At 44.8% G+C, this 14,857-nt stretch overlaps 1 annotated feature.

Annotated features, from left to right (window-relative positions):
• Positions 10,699 to 11,199: an enhancer, noted in NCBI's record as "H3K4me1 hESC enhancer chr18:72070287-72070787 (GRCh37/hg19 assembly coordinates)". NCBI's record gives its function as "activates a minimal SCP1, AML or CMV promoter by ChIP-STARR-seq in naive H9 embryonic stem cells {active_cell/tissue: H9 hESC(naive)}" and the evidence as "EXISTENCE:reporter gene assay evidence [ECO:0000049][PMID:30033119]".

Consider the following 14,857-nt stretch of genomic DNA (forward strand, 5'->3'; position numbering starts at 1 on the left):
AAAGTCTTAATAGCAAAAACTGAAATTTCCCAGAAAAGAGGAAATTCTGCTTCAAGACTGCAACATGCCCTCTGGCCTGAGTCTCCAGGTGCTGGTCTGCCCTGCTGAATGCACACCTGACCGCTCCTGTGGTGGTCTGAGCCAGTCTGCTGCTGGCTCCGCTCCTCTGGAGAGCCCTGGCTCATTCAGAGGGCCTCGGCTTTCCTCCAAGTTGCTCCTGGAACTCTAGCACCAAGCTCAAGACCTCCAGGCAACAGACTGAAAAATGCTGTTCTGGGGAACCTGACCAGCCCAAGAGGAAATTTCCTAAATACAGGTAGTGGTGCTAGTGGGTCCCCAATGACACAGCCCAGCAGATCACCCCACGAGAACCCTACACCCACCAAACCCATACAAATCCTCACATCTTTGATCAGCTTCTTGGTTCCAGTTACCAACTGTGAAGAAGATGGAAATCCAGGAACACTCAGGGAATAACAATAAAAGGGCTCCTGGCTATGAAAAGATAATGGCAAAATGAAAAACTCAATAGAAGAATTAGAAGATAAAGATTTGGAAATCTCCAGAACATAGAGCAAAAAGAGAACAGAAAAGAGGAGAGAAAAGATAAGACAAAAGTAGATCGTTCCAGAAAGCCTAATATCCTAACATTTTTATAAAAACATAAAAATAATATCTAAAACAGAAGAAATAATCAAAAAATAATTCGAGAAAATTTCTCAAGTAAAAGGCATGAGTTTCCTGATAGAAAGACTCATTAAAGACCCACTAAAATGAATGGAATTTTATAGTATGGTGAAGGTTCAAAACGCTGTACACACAAAAAAACTACAAATGTCCAGAAAGAAAAGCGTAAGTGACATCTAACAAGCAGAAATCAAAATCACTTCACTAGGCAATAGCAGGAACTCAGAGGCAATGGTGCCTAATTTCTTCATTATTCTAAAGGAAAAATACATTTTCAGCTTAGACGTCTATGTCTAGCCAAACAGATTGCATTACAGCAGATTCAAGGCATTTCAGAGAAGCAAGGTCTAAAATAAATGAACTCCCAGGCTCCCTTTCTCAGACAGACACTGAAATGTGCTCCACCAAACCAAGAAAGTGAAGCTATGGAATACAGAAAGAAGTGAGAGGAGGACAATGCGTGTCACAGTAGTGAACGGCCATCTCGGAATCTAGCTGCTCACTTGGCCTAGAGGGTGACCCTCAGATGGAGTGGGGTAGGAGGACCTGGGAGACGCCTTCAGGATAGCAGGACTGGTGGCTGAATGTCTTGACAGGAGATTCGGACAAATGGAAAGTAGTTTGAGGTTGAATTCTTAATAAAAACATGAAAACCAAGCAAACAAAACAAGACACTTAGGAAGTACAGGGAAAACAAAACTTTGCAGAGCAAATGCATGGCTCAGCTGTGGATAATCTTTAGTCATAATGATATAAACATTGAACACTGATGTAAGCAAAATGATGGTGGGACAACACTGGGGAGGTCTGTGAAGGTGGTGGGGATGGAAGTGGAGTAAGGGCAGGTGGAGAGTCCAGTGAACCTTCGTCTCCATCACAAGTGAGTAAATAATGCCTGATGTTGCAAGGTGAAAGGTGGCAGTGGCAATTGAGCATGGGTTTTAAAGACAGAGAGGTAAATACTCAAATCTCAGCTCCCAGTGAAGTGACTACTTCCTTGAGGGGGAAATGAGGGACAGGAGGGCTGGGAGCCACTGCTTTTTGTAACAATCTTTGCAGAGCTTTTTGAATGTTTAAACTATGTGCATACATAACTTTGGTGACAATAAAAGCTAGAACACAAAACAAAAAATGAAAACCTTAATATTCAGCCCAGCCTATGTCCAAATGATCTCAAAAGTGTCTAAGTATTCATGACTTCTTGCTGTCATAAAACCACCACACCACTGAGTAGTTCCAGCATTCACCATTTCATTAAAATCTTACCACTTTGGAGGCACAGATGAAATTGTAGAACTTGAGGTGCTTCCCAGTTGGGGGTGTGCCCCGCTCTAGGATAAGGCGATATTTCTATTCCCTGTGGAGCGAGAATACCCATAATCTTACCTAAGCGGTAATCTTCTGTCCCCTATTCTAGAATGCTTTTCACCTTTCCTCTAGTTGCTTGGTAAGAGCTATACTACGCTGAGCCTGGTGACTTATCAGTGCTGACCATGGGTGATACTCAAGCACCAAGGTCTGTAGTCACAGGTTTATTAACACCTGTGGGCAGGTGTTAACCCCGACACAATGAGAGACCTCACAAGCTGAAGGTGGCAGAGAACTCTGAGGGAAAAAGGCAAATTTTGGTTAGGAAAAGAAATTCACCCTGGTGTTCTCAATACTCTTCCTCCACACCCGGTGCATTAGTCTGTTGTCATGCTGCTAATAAAGACATACCCGAGCCTGGGTAAATTTATGAAGGGAAGAGATTTAATGGACTCACAGCTCCACATGGCTGGAGAGGCCTCACAAATCATGGCAGAAGGTGAAGGAAGAGCTTACATGGCAGCAGGCGAGACAGTGTGTTCAGGGGGAACTCCCCTTTATAAAACCATCCGATCTTGCAATGCTTATTCACTACCATGAGAACAGTGTGGGGGAACCTGCCTGCATGATTCAGTTATCTCCACCTGGCCCCACCCTTGACATGTGGGGATTATACAATTCAAGGTGACTTGGGTGGGGACACAGCCAAACCATACCACCCACTCATGTGACGTGGGTGGTCGTATGTTGGAAGGGGGATGGAACTATGAGACAATCGTATTGGGCAGACTGTTTTTTTGTGTGTGCACCTTTGTGATTGGCTCACGGCCCATGGGCTGGGTCTTTGGGAACATGGACCAGCATCTCTGAAAAGGAGACATTTTCACCACCTCCTTTTCTTGATAGGCTGAAGAGCATTGCTGGCCAGCAGCGAGCCGGTACTTGGTATTCAAAGTCAGATCTGTCTGACTCCCGTGCTCATGGTCTTTCAACTATTCTTGAAAAATTTTAGAGGCCTGGTGATAGTTAATTTTATGTGCCAACTTGACTGGCCCACAGGGTGCCCACATATCTGGCTATACATTGTTTTCCCTTGCTTTCCTTTTTTTTGGAACTAATTAAACTCTAGACTTTATTTGAATTTGATTAGTTTTCCATTTAGGGTTTTTTTTTTTTTCTTTTTCTGGGATCCAATCCATGATGCCACACTGCATTTAGCATATATAGATTTTTGAGGAATGTGATTAAGCACTGGGCTTTTCACGGTTTTGCTTTAAAAAATCAAATTTGCTTAAACAGAAGGAAGGAAATTGCACAAAAATCAACACAGTTTGTTGAAACTATTTTTGTTTGACAAATAAAACTTAACCAAATCAACTCACAGGTCTGATAATTACAACACACACACACACACACACACACACACACATGCTCCTCTTGACAGAACATAAAATGCAACATTGGAACAAAGAGAAACTAGGTGAGCGATTGGTGCTGACTGCCTGCTGTCCACTCAGACCGCAGCCAGCCACCAAAATCCTCCCTCCCCTGGAGATGGATTTGCCCAGTGACCTTCCCAGCATCAAGTCTGCTACTCACATGCAGAGTGGCAGGCTGGGGCCTGGAGGTCAACCTCACAAATTAGGACTTGCCCGAGACCCGTAAGGGACGCACTGGTAGAGCGGGGGCCAGAAAGCAGGTCTCCCCATGTGCCTGGGGTCTCACTCTGGGAGCCGGCTTCAGGCACACAGAGTACACCCAGGCACTGGCTTCCAGGACCAACCTGGAGCATGTCAGACGCACGCTGTGAGAGAAAAAGGGACAAATCCCAACACCATGAGAAAATGAAGGAAAGAAAAATGCTTCCAGACTATCGCTAACCTAATATTTTCTTATTTCTTAAACTTGGAAAACCTTTGCCCATTTTCAGATCTCTGGGCATGTTCCCAAGAAATCCTGCTACTTCCAGTGATTAAAAGCCCCCTGGGACAGCACTCTTGGGCACTTAAGATTCGAATTTCTATATTACGGTCTCATGTTTCCCAACTGGAAATACCACAGTTAATATATCTAGGTTTAAAATACAGCACTCGAAGTATTTGCTAATGTTTCACTTAATCTTGCATTCCTCTGGCACCTGTAGAAATTAGGAGCCTGGGGAAAATAGTGATTAGCAAGCATTTATAGCTGATAGCACCCTGTAATTGCAAAAGGAACTTTTAAATGCTTTTAGGCCGTTCATTTCCCAGTCCCTCTCCTGTGAGAAGGTGGCTGTATTCCAGAAAGTTTGCTAGGCCGTTCCAAAAAGTTATAGCACACATGTGCGGGAGACAGAATCCTCGCCGTTCTCAAGCCCAAGTTTGTCTGCTCCTGAAAAGCATATGGGGCGCTTCCTCAGCACAGAGCTGGGTATAAACCCGGGATCAAGTGGTTGCCCTCTACAACCTTCCACCCCATTAGCACCCAAAAAAGGGGAACCCTTCGCCCTAGCGAACTTCAGTACATAGAATGCACAAATCACTTAGATGATTTTTCTCTGACATGGTAAATCCCAGCTTCCTCAAGCTTTTTCATGTCATTCCATCACATCAGCATAATACTCTTTAGGAAACCATCTTTTTTTTTAAGCAATAAAATGTCAAGTGCAGGAACTACGAGTTTCCGCCTTTAGTTGTGCAATCTAAAAAGCCGATGGTCTGAGGGGTGCAGGGCCAGATCCCAGAAGGGGCACAACTTCTGTGAAATTGCTTCTCAGTTCCCCTGTTTTTAAAAGAGGAGGTGGCATCTAACATAAAAGAATGCATGACTTGGCCAGGTGCAGTGGCTCACACCTGTAATCTCAGCACTTTGGGAGGCCAAGGCGGGTGGATCACCTGAGGTCAGAAGTTCAAGACCAGCCTGGACAATGAGGTGACACCTCGTCTCTACTAAGAATACAAAAATTAGCTGGGCGTGGTGGCATGCACGCACCTGTAGCCCCAGCTACTCAGGGGGTTGAGGCAGGAGGATTGCTTGAGCCTGGGAGGTGGAGGTTTCAGCAAGCTGAGACTGCACTACTGCACTCCAGCCTGGGCAACAGAGTGAGCGAGAGCGAGAGGGAGAAGCAGAAGCAGAAGAAGAAGAAAAGGAAAGAAGAAAGAAGAAGAAGAGAAGAGAATGCATTACTTTACTCATTGTGGAATCTCAGGTATCTGCTGGAGTAAGGAGGGGCAGGAAGAGGGATCCTCTTCCTCAGTGTCTCAGCTCAGACAGTGGAAGCTGCCTGGGAGATCACAAGGCAGCTATGGCCTCCTCGGTGTACTCTAGGACCATGGTTCTCAAAGCCTGGTGTGCACCAGAATCACCTGTAAGTTGGGGTGGGGCCCGCATTTCTTACAAGTTCCTCGAGGTGGCTCCTGAGGCTGGTCGAGGGACCAGGGCACTCTGAGAACCACTGGGCTGTACCTGACAAGGAGCATCCAGGCCGCGCTTCTCTTACTCACTGTGCTGCCAGACACTGGATTTGAACTAAGATGTGTGCTGCGATTCTCCCCAACACCATCCATATTTTCTGTTTACTGTCTGCCATAACAGAATACCATAGACTGACAGCCAGGCATGGTGGATCATGCCTGTAATCCCAGTACGTTGGGAGGCCGAGGCAGGCGGATCACTTGACATCAGGAGTTTGAGACCAGCCTGGCCAACATGGCGAAACCCTGTCTCTCCTAAAAATACAAAAATTAGCTGGGCGTGGTGCAGATGCCTATAATCCCAGCTACTCAGGAGCCTGAGGCAGGAGAATCGCTTGAACCTGGAGGCGGAGGATGCAGTGAGCCGAGATCGCGCCACTGCACTCCAGGTTTGGTGACAGAGGAAGAATTTGTCTATTAAAAAAAAAACAAAAACAAACCATAGACTGGGGGGCTTAGACAACAAGCATTTATTCCTCACAGTCCAGAGGCTGGAGGTCTGAGATCGGGGTGCCCACATGGCCGGGCTCTAGGGAGGATGCTTCTCCAGAGTACAGACTGCTGCCTTCCAGCCACATCCTCACATGGCTGAAGGAGGCTTAGAGGGCTCTCTGGGGGCCTCTTTTGTGTGTTTGTTTTGAGACAGGGTCTTACTCTGTCATCCATGCTGGAGTGCAGTGGTATGGCCATGGCTCCCTGTAGCCTCAACCTCCTAGACTCAAGCGCTCTTCTTGCCTCAGGCTCCTGAGTAGTTGGGAGTACAGGCATACACTATCACATCTGCCAAATTTTTTTTGTATTTTTTGTAGAGATGGGCTTTTGTCATGTTGCCAAGGCTGGTCTCAAACTCCTGGGCTCAAGCAATTGTCCATCTCAGCCTCTCAAAGTGCTGGGATTACACAGCACCTGGCCTGGGGGCCTCTTGTATGAAGGCATTAATCCAATTCGTGAGAGCCCCATCCTCATGACCACCTCCCGAAGGCCCCACCTCCTAGCACTACCACACTGGGGATGAGATTTTGATGTGAATTTTGGGGTGGACACAAACATTCAGTCCATAATAACCGTGTTTAAAGTGACTGAGCTAAATCACTTACGGGAAAAACAACAATTTTTAATGTGGGAAAAAAAAAATCAACTGTTTTGTTGTTGTTTTTAAAGGAAAATTCCTAGGCTTTGAAAGTCTCACCTTTGGAACAGAATAGTGCTGATGCGTTCCTGTTGAGAATATTGAGCTACCCAGGTGAACGTGTACTTCACTCTGCTTCCTCATCTTAAGACTCACATTTTCTACAACCTCTGAGCTTATCTTGTTTTACCAGCCGCAGAGTATATGTAAGGGTTGCTATGTTTTAAGGCAAGAGCAGAGGAATATTAAAGAACCCAGTCTAAAAGCAGAAAAAGCCAACAGACGCAGAGATTATTTAAAGCTCTAGCACATTTCCGTGCTTAAGATGAACGGGTTCCAAACTGCCCCATTTGCCACTTAACGACCTCCTTTCCCTCCACCCGCAGCTGCATTTGGGGAATGGAGCCAGAAGAAACGTTTCCCCATGCTTAGTGGTTCTCCTCTTCCTTTTCCTCCACCCGCAGCTGCATTTGGGGAATGGAGCCAGAAGAAACGTTTCCCCATGCTTAGTGGTTCTCCTCTTCCTTTTCCTCTGGTAAGTTCTGGAAGGATTCTTATGCAATCAAAGAGCATGAAAAATGACTTGCAAGAGGAAAATAGACAAGTCAAAATAAAAGCAAACAAAACAAATGTGAAGGGGGTGCATGGGTTCTCCAAAACAGTGCAACTGTCATTCTGTGTGGAGAAATCATGGTCAAGTCGACGATCTTCAATTGGTCTGTCAGCTACAAAGTTCAAAGCAAATGTGCATCCAGCCTTCCTGTGTTTCTGTGGGCTTTGCTCCGTGCTTTCACTGGCTTTATCTCAAGCCTATCCGGCAATTATTTTTGGCTCATTCAATAAACAGCTTTCAGTCAATTTCTTCTGTTTTGAATGCTTAAAGTAGGGCTCATTCTCATGTACTATAGTATTCAGAATATTATTGGAATTATTATTCTGATCAGACTCGGTCAATTAAAAATTGGCCAGCTATTAGATGGAGTGTGATGTTGGATGGGGGCTGCGGCATTCTAGAGGGGTCAACACAGGCCTTGCTTTTGAGGGTCTCACAGCACCAGGAGGGTGTAATAGACAGAATCATGGTCCCCACAAGGAGGCTGCACATCCTAATTCCCGGAAACCATGACTATGTTGCTTTACACAGCATCAGGTACTGATAAGTAAAGGGTCCTGATGTAGGGACAGTTTTTTGAAATATTTGGGTGGGTCCAATGTCCTCCAAAGGGTCCTTCTAAGGAAACAGGGAGATGGGAAAGCCAGAGAAGGAGCTGAGACAACAGAAGCAGGGGTCCAAGGGAGGGAGGCGCGGAGGTGGTGTGCTTCTGGCACTGAGGGTTGGGGAGGGGGCCGTGGGTGAAGGAGGGCAGGCAACCCCCAGGAGCTGGAGAATGCAAGGACACAGATGCCCCCTTGCAGCATGTGGAAGGAACGCAATCCTGCCACCACCTTGGTTTCAGCCCAGAAGACCCACTTTAGACTCCTCCAGGACCGTAAGGGCATAACCTGCATTGTTTTACGTCATGACGTTTGTGGTAGTTTGCAACAGCAGCCATAAGAAACCATATAGAGGAAGAGGGACATAGAGAGGATGTGGAACGAGCCTGAGTGCCCCACATGCCTGCCCCGAGCCTGAGTGCACCTGCCCCGGGCCCAGGTGCAGCAACCTATCCCCAGCTACCTGTCCCCAGCTACCAGCAGGGGCCTCTGACCTTGGCTTCCAAGTGCAGCGCAGACAGCCTCGGCCAGGGTTCTCCTCACCCCCACTGCTTACCACCAATCCTTAAAGACTCTGGACACATGAAACATTGTGTAAATTCTAGGACAGTATTTTTCAGATGTGGGATCTGAGAAGCAACTCCTCAGTAGGGAACCCACTTAGAATTCTTTACCGAGGTGACCAGATAGGCCACACACAGCACCCAAGAACAGGAAACTGGGCTAAGGATAAAAAGATTTGTTAACAAGAAATACTTTCCAGTAATATTCTGAATACTATAGTACATGAGGATGAGCCCTACATCAAGCATTCAAAACAGAAGAAATTGACTGAAAGCCATTCACTGAATGAGCCAAAAATAATTGTCCAATAGGCTTGGGATAAAGCCTGTGAAAGCATGGAGCAAAGCCCGCAGAAAACACGGGAAGCCTGGATGCACATTTGCTTTCAACTTTGTAGCTAACAGACCAGTTGAAGTTCGTCCTCCCTGTCCTGCACCCTACTTAGAAAGAGACCAAAAAGGAGGTAAAATCCTGTCCCCCAAGGTCAGAGGAGTAGAGACTCCCAGTGGCTCAGAGCATAACCATCGTTCAGCCAGATTCTTCACTTGGCAAAGAGATACAAGACTTGATTTACTTTGGCGTTTGTGATGGGGACTGTGGCCACAGGAAAGAGGACCAGGGATTGTTGGGTTGAACTCTACACATCATTTATCCAACAAGCTCTGAGCACCAGTGCACCAGGTGCTATGCCAGGTAATGAGATACAATGGTGCAAGAAGCAGTTCTGGGCCATCCAGGACTCCACCATATGGAGTAGAGGGGAAGGAAGTGAAGCACCCACAAAGGTGTAAGTAATTACTTATAACAGAAAGTGTGGCAGAATAACTTGAGACTCCATGGGACATACTTAGTGAGCAACTGGTGGTCTTGTCTTGCTCAGCAGACTGCTTGGCTGGAATGTGCAAGTTGACAAAGCTTTGAGGATCTTGGGGAGAAAATGGTTGCTTCTGCTTAAGAGGAGATTTGGAGGGTTAGAGAGGGAAATAATAGGAATTAAACAGCTGCCCTAGGGAAAAGTATCTTGGAGAAAGAACAGAAACATTTTTAAAGGGATTTTAGAAATTCATGTGGTTTGCAATATAATATCCTTCTCCATCTTTTCAGACATATTCATAAAATTGACATTACTTTTCCATGCTTCTGGAGTTGGTAGAGGGAGTTTTGAGTTGCAAGGATATGCTAAGTCTATCAGTTAAGATTCTGCTTAGCCTATGTATAACAGAACTATCCAAAATAATAGTAGCTTAAATGACATGTGTATTCCTCTCTCATGTAAAGGCAGTCCAAGGCTGATATGGCAGGTCCATGATAAGATCCAGGCTCCTTCCAGTTTTCTGCTTCACTATCTAAGCAGTGGCTTCCACACTTAAGGAAACCTCTTTATCCATCATGGCTGCTGGAGCTTCAGTCATCACATCTGCCTTCCAGGCAGCTAGAAAGAAGGAGGAAGGGTGGCTGGGCGTGGTGGCTCATGCCTGTAATTCCAGCACTTTGGGAGGACGAGGCGGGCAGATCACCTGAGGTCAGGAGTTCGAGACCAGACTGATCAACATGGAGAAACCCCACCTCTACTAAAAATACAAAATTAGCTGGGTGTGGTGGTGCATGCCTGTAATCCCAGCTACTCGGGAGGCTGGGTCAGGAGAATCACTTGAACCCGGAAGGCGGAGGTTGCAATGAGCTGAGATCGCGCCATTGCACTCCAGCCTGGGCAACAAGAGTGAAACTCTGTCTCAAAAAATAATAATAATAATAATAAATAAATAATAAATAAATAGAAAAGAGAAGAAAGAAGGGGGAAGGGCAAAAAGGATATACCAATTCTCTCAATAAAATAAGGTTTCTGATATTAAGGAAAAAGAGAATGGCCACTGAAGGCCAACTGAACAGTCTCTGCTTCACTTAGTCCAACCTATAAATGGGAGTGGAGTAAAAACAAGAGGGGCAGCCCAAAAATCCCCATGTGAGTTACAAATGTGACAAAGCTTCAGTGACGAGATACATAAATGCAGTTGGAGCTGACTCGGACTGCATGGGCTCTGAGAGGCTTCCTAGAGGAAAGTATGCAGTATTTGAACTGAGCCTTGAGGCATGTATGAGAGGCCACCAGGTGAAAGGGGAATGGCATTCCGGTAGAGAAACAACCAAAGAACAGAAGCTGAGTGGCACTTTTCAAACTCTCACACCCTGGGCTCTTCTTATTCCATTTCTGTCCTGGCTGGGTTTCCTGCAGGGGAAGCCTGCAGCCCAGCCCTCTGCAAGTGGCTCTCGGAAGTCACCAGCAGCCTGCTTATCTCCAAAGCCCGAGACCAAGCCCCAGGCCTCGTCCGCACTGCAGAGCCTCTGCAGGATTAAGCCTGCATGCCATCCTCTGGCTCTCCTCCCATCTCCATTGCTGCTGCCTCTCCTTCTGAAGAGGGAATAACACTGTTTACAACAGCACCCCCAGCCACATCTGGAAACCTGTCCCCAAACGGCCAGCATGGAGGATTTGAATCAGCCTGCTCCATGAACCCGCGGACCCGGGCTGCCAAAGTCTTCTCACTTCCAAAGATGTGTCTCTATGTGTGTATGAACTTCATAGGACCAAGTTCTTTTCAAGAAACACTCTAGTTCAAGAACATAAATCTAAGTGTGTGTGTAAATGAGGCCATGGATATGCTGGTTAGCTTGATTTAATCATGCCACATTGTATACATATTTCAAAACATCACATTGTATACATGTATCAAAACCATGTATCAAAACATTACATTGTATACATGTATCAAAACATGAATATAACATAATGTATACAATTATGATTTGTCAATCAGAAATTTAATATATATATATATATATATATTTGAGATAGGGTCTCACTATATCACCCAGGCTATAATGGTGCAGTGGCATGATCATGGCTCACTGCAGCCTCAACCTCCCAGGCTCAAGTGATCTTCCCACCTCCACCTCGGGAGTAGCTGGGACTACAGGCACGCACCACCATGCCTGGCTAATGTTTTGCATTTTCTTTTGGTAGAAACAGGGTTTTAACATGTTGCTCAGGCTGGTGTAAACTCCTGGGCTCAAGCAATCTACCTACCTCAGTCCCCCAAAGTGCTGGCATTACAGGTGTGAGCCACTGAACCCGGACAGAAATTTTAAAAATTAATTAAAAATAATAAATAAATTCATAGAGATCATGAGGAACTACATTCCTGAGACTAGAAGAAAGAACACAGGCCTATCAGTAAAAACTTCTTCCTATTTCTTGGCTCTTTGCACATATTACTTAGGGTGTCCGGCCAAGACTTTGCACCATTTTTCCTTCCATGCTCTTTCTCCTGTTGATTGATTTCAATGTTTTATGTATTCTGCATAGAATCTATTATCATAGCCATGTGTGGTGGCTCATGCCTGTAATCCCAGCACTTTAGGAGGCTGAGGTGGGTGGATCACCAAGTCAAGAGATTGAGACTATCCTGGCCAACATGGTGAAACCCTGTCTCTACTAAAAATACAAAAATTAGCTGGGTGTGGTGGCACACGCCTGTAGTCCAAGCTACTTGGGAGGCTGAGGCAGGAGAATCGCTTGAACCTGGGAGGCAGAGGTTGCAGTGAGCTGAGGTCATGCCATTGCACTCCAGCCTGGCAACAGAGCAAGACTCTGTCTCAAAAACAAAAACAAATCTATTATCATATCCATGTATTGCAAACACTTTCTTCTACTCTGTGGCTTGCCAAATCACTCTTACTGGTCATTTTTGAACATATAAGTGGTTGATTTTAATATAGCTCAATTTATCAAACGTTTCCTTTATGATTAGTATACTTAATGTCCTATTTAATATATCTTTTAGTACTCAATACAGGTATCGGCCTACAAAAACAAAAACCAGTTATCTTCAGAAGAAACCTGTGCAATAACATTTGTCTGTCCATAGCTGAGGGATGGAGAAGTATTAGCATCTCTCTTCTCTAATCAGCACATTTTTTTATTGTAGTAAAATACATATAACATAAAATTTACCTTTTAAATCATTTTAAAGTGTACAATTCCATGGTATTAAGTCCATTCACAATCTTGGACGATCATTACCACTACCTAGTTCCAGAACTTTCTCATCACCCCAAAAGGAACCCACAAACCAGTCCCTTTCAACTTCCATCTCCTCCCGCCCATTGGCAACCATGGATCCACTTTCCCTTGCTCTGGATTTGCAGACTCTGGCTATTACATACAAACGGGATCATAGGACACATAGCTGTTTGTGCCTGAGCTTCTTCCACTCTGCATTATGTGATCAAGGTTCATCCGCATTGTGGCTTGTGTCAGTGCCGCACTCTTTTTTATGGCTAGATGACACACCATTGTGTGGAGAGATGGCATTTTGTTTATTCAGCTGCTGATGGGCCTTTGTGTTTTTTCCCCCTCATGGCAATTGTGAATGATGATACTATGAACATTGGCTTACAAATGTTTGTTTGAACATCTATTTTCAATTCTTTTCAGTATATACCTAAAAGTAGAATTGCTGGGCAGTATGGCAATTCTGTTTTTAACTTTGAGGAACTGCCAAACCATTTTCCACAGCACCTGCACCATTTAACATTTCTACCAGCAGCATATGAGGATTCTAATTTCTCCACATCCTCACCAATACTTGTTATTTTCTGGTTGTTTATTATTGTTATGACCATCCTAGTGGGTATGATGTGATAACTCATGATTGAATGATTGATTGATTGATTGATTTTAGATAGTCTTGCTCTGTTGTCCAGGCTGGAGTGCAGTGGTATGATCTCAGCTCACTGCAACCTCCACCTCCCAGGTTCAAGCGATTCTCATGCCTCAGCCTCCCAAGTAGCTTGGATTACAGGTGTGTGCCACCACACCCGGCTATTTTTTTGTATTTTTAGTAGATGTGGAATCTCACCATGTTGCCCAGGCTGGTCTCGAACTCCTGAGCTCAGGTGATCCACCCACCTCAGCCTCCCAATGTGCTAGGATGACAGGCATGAGCCACCACACCCAGCTCTCATGGTTTTGATGTGCATTTCCCTGATGACTAATGTGAGCATCTTTTGGTGTGCTGTTTGGCATTCATATGCCCAACACTGGCTATGCCAGTGAGGATTAGGTGTAGGTCCTAGGTGGCTTATCTAATCAGCAATTTAAAAAAGTTGTTATTTCGTCATTTTCAGAGGTCAACTAGAGGAATATGAATTTAATCTATACCACTTGTATTCTTCTTCTATTTTTTTCTAAAAAATATGAAGTTTTCCTCTCATTTTGAGAACTTTTTCTCAAATCAAATCAAATACATATCTGTCATCACCATGGAGGAAAGGTAAGAAAATGACTTCCATTGAGAAACAATTTTGCAACAACCCTGGACTTTTTTTATTGACTAAACATTTTGTCTCTTTTCCAGGAAAGGAATGGCAAGGTTTGCTTCTATCTGCATGTTTGGCAGCCTATTTCTGTGTGGTACCCTTAGTCCCCAAGAATAAGCCATCAGAAGACCTGCATAGCTACAATCAGCATTCATGGCATTGGTCACTCCTCATTCTAAAAATGCCAGTGTTGTTTTCTCTCCCACTGCCTCACACCAGGCACACTCTCCATTTCTCAAGGCAGGTAATAAATACACAGTTATGGCTTAAATATAATTGAGAAAATCAAGAAAATGAATATGCTGCCTAGGTTTACAACTCGAAGACTTCTATTCATGCTGGAAGAGGAGAGAAAAAAATGAAAAACAACAACAACACAGAGATTACAGGCATGTGCCTAAATCGAATTTAACAATCCCTCCCTCACCACCACCTACTTGGGAGTGGTATAAATAGGGCATTCTCTTTTGCTGTCTAGGACTGCTTGATTTTTCTTTGAACCATAGAGATGAAGTATCAGTAATGAGACAGTTCTTGCACCATATAGATCAAGAACCTTCTCATTTGGAATCAAATATCATCTGGCAACTCCCTGTTAGAACCCAGTGCCTTCCATGTGAAGCCCAATCGTCATGATGAGATCACATGCAGGTGCTCAGGCGACGCTCCCAGGTGAGCTAAACTTTAAGTCATCTCAGGCCAGGGAGCAGCCCTGGCAGGGAAGAAGCCATCTTGGAAGTGGATCCTCCTGTCTCATCTGTTCTAGACTCAGATATAGAAGGAGGGCTTCCCCACTGCAGGCTTTCCAAACTCTGACTCCAGAATCCGTGAGCATAATAAAAAACGGTTGCTTTTATGTCACTAAGTTTGGGTGATTTTTTTACAAAGCAGTAGCAACTATGACAAACTGACACATTTACAATATTATGTCTTCAAATACACAGACATTGCAGGTCTTCACACTAACCTAAGTCTCCTTTCTATCCTTTTTTTATTTTTATTTTTAATTGTTTTCGAGACAGAGTTTCACTCTTGTTGCCCAGGCTGGGGTGCAATGGCACAATCTCGGCTCATTGCAATCTCTGCCTCCTGGGTTCAAGCAATTCTCCTGCCTCAGCCTCCT

This window comes from Homo sapiens, chromosome 18, assembly GCF_000001405.40.
Source record: "Homo sapiens chromosome 18, GRCh38.p14 Primary Assembly".
In the NCBI taxonomy this organism is placed as follows: domain Eukaryota; kingdom Metazoa; phylum Chordata; class Mammalia; order Primates; family Hominidae; genus Homo; species Homo sapiens.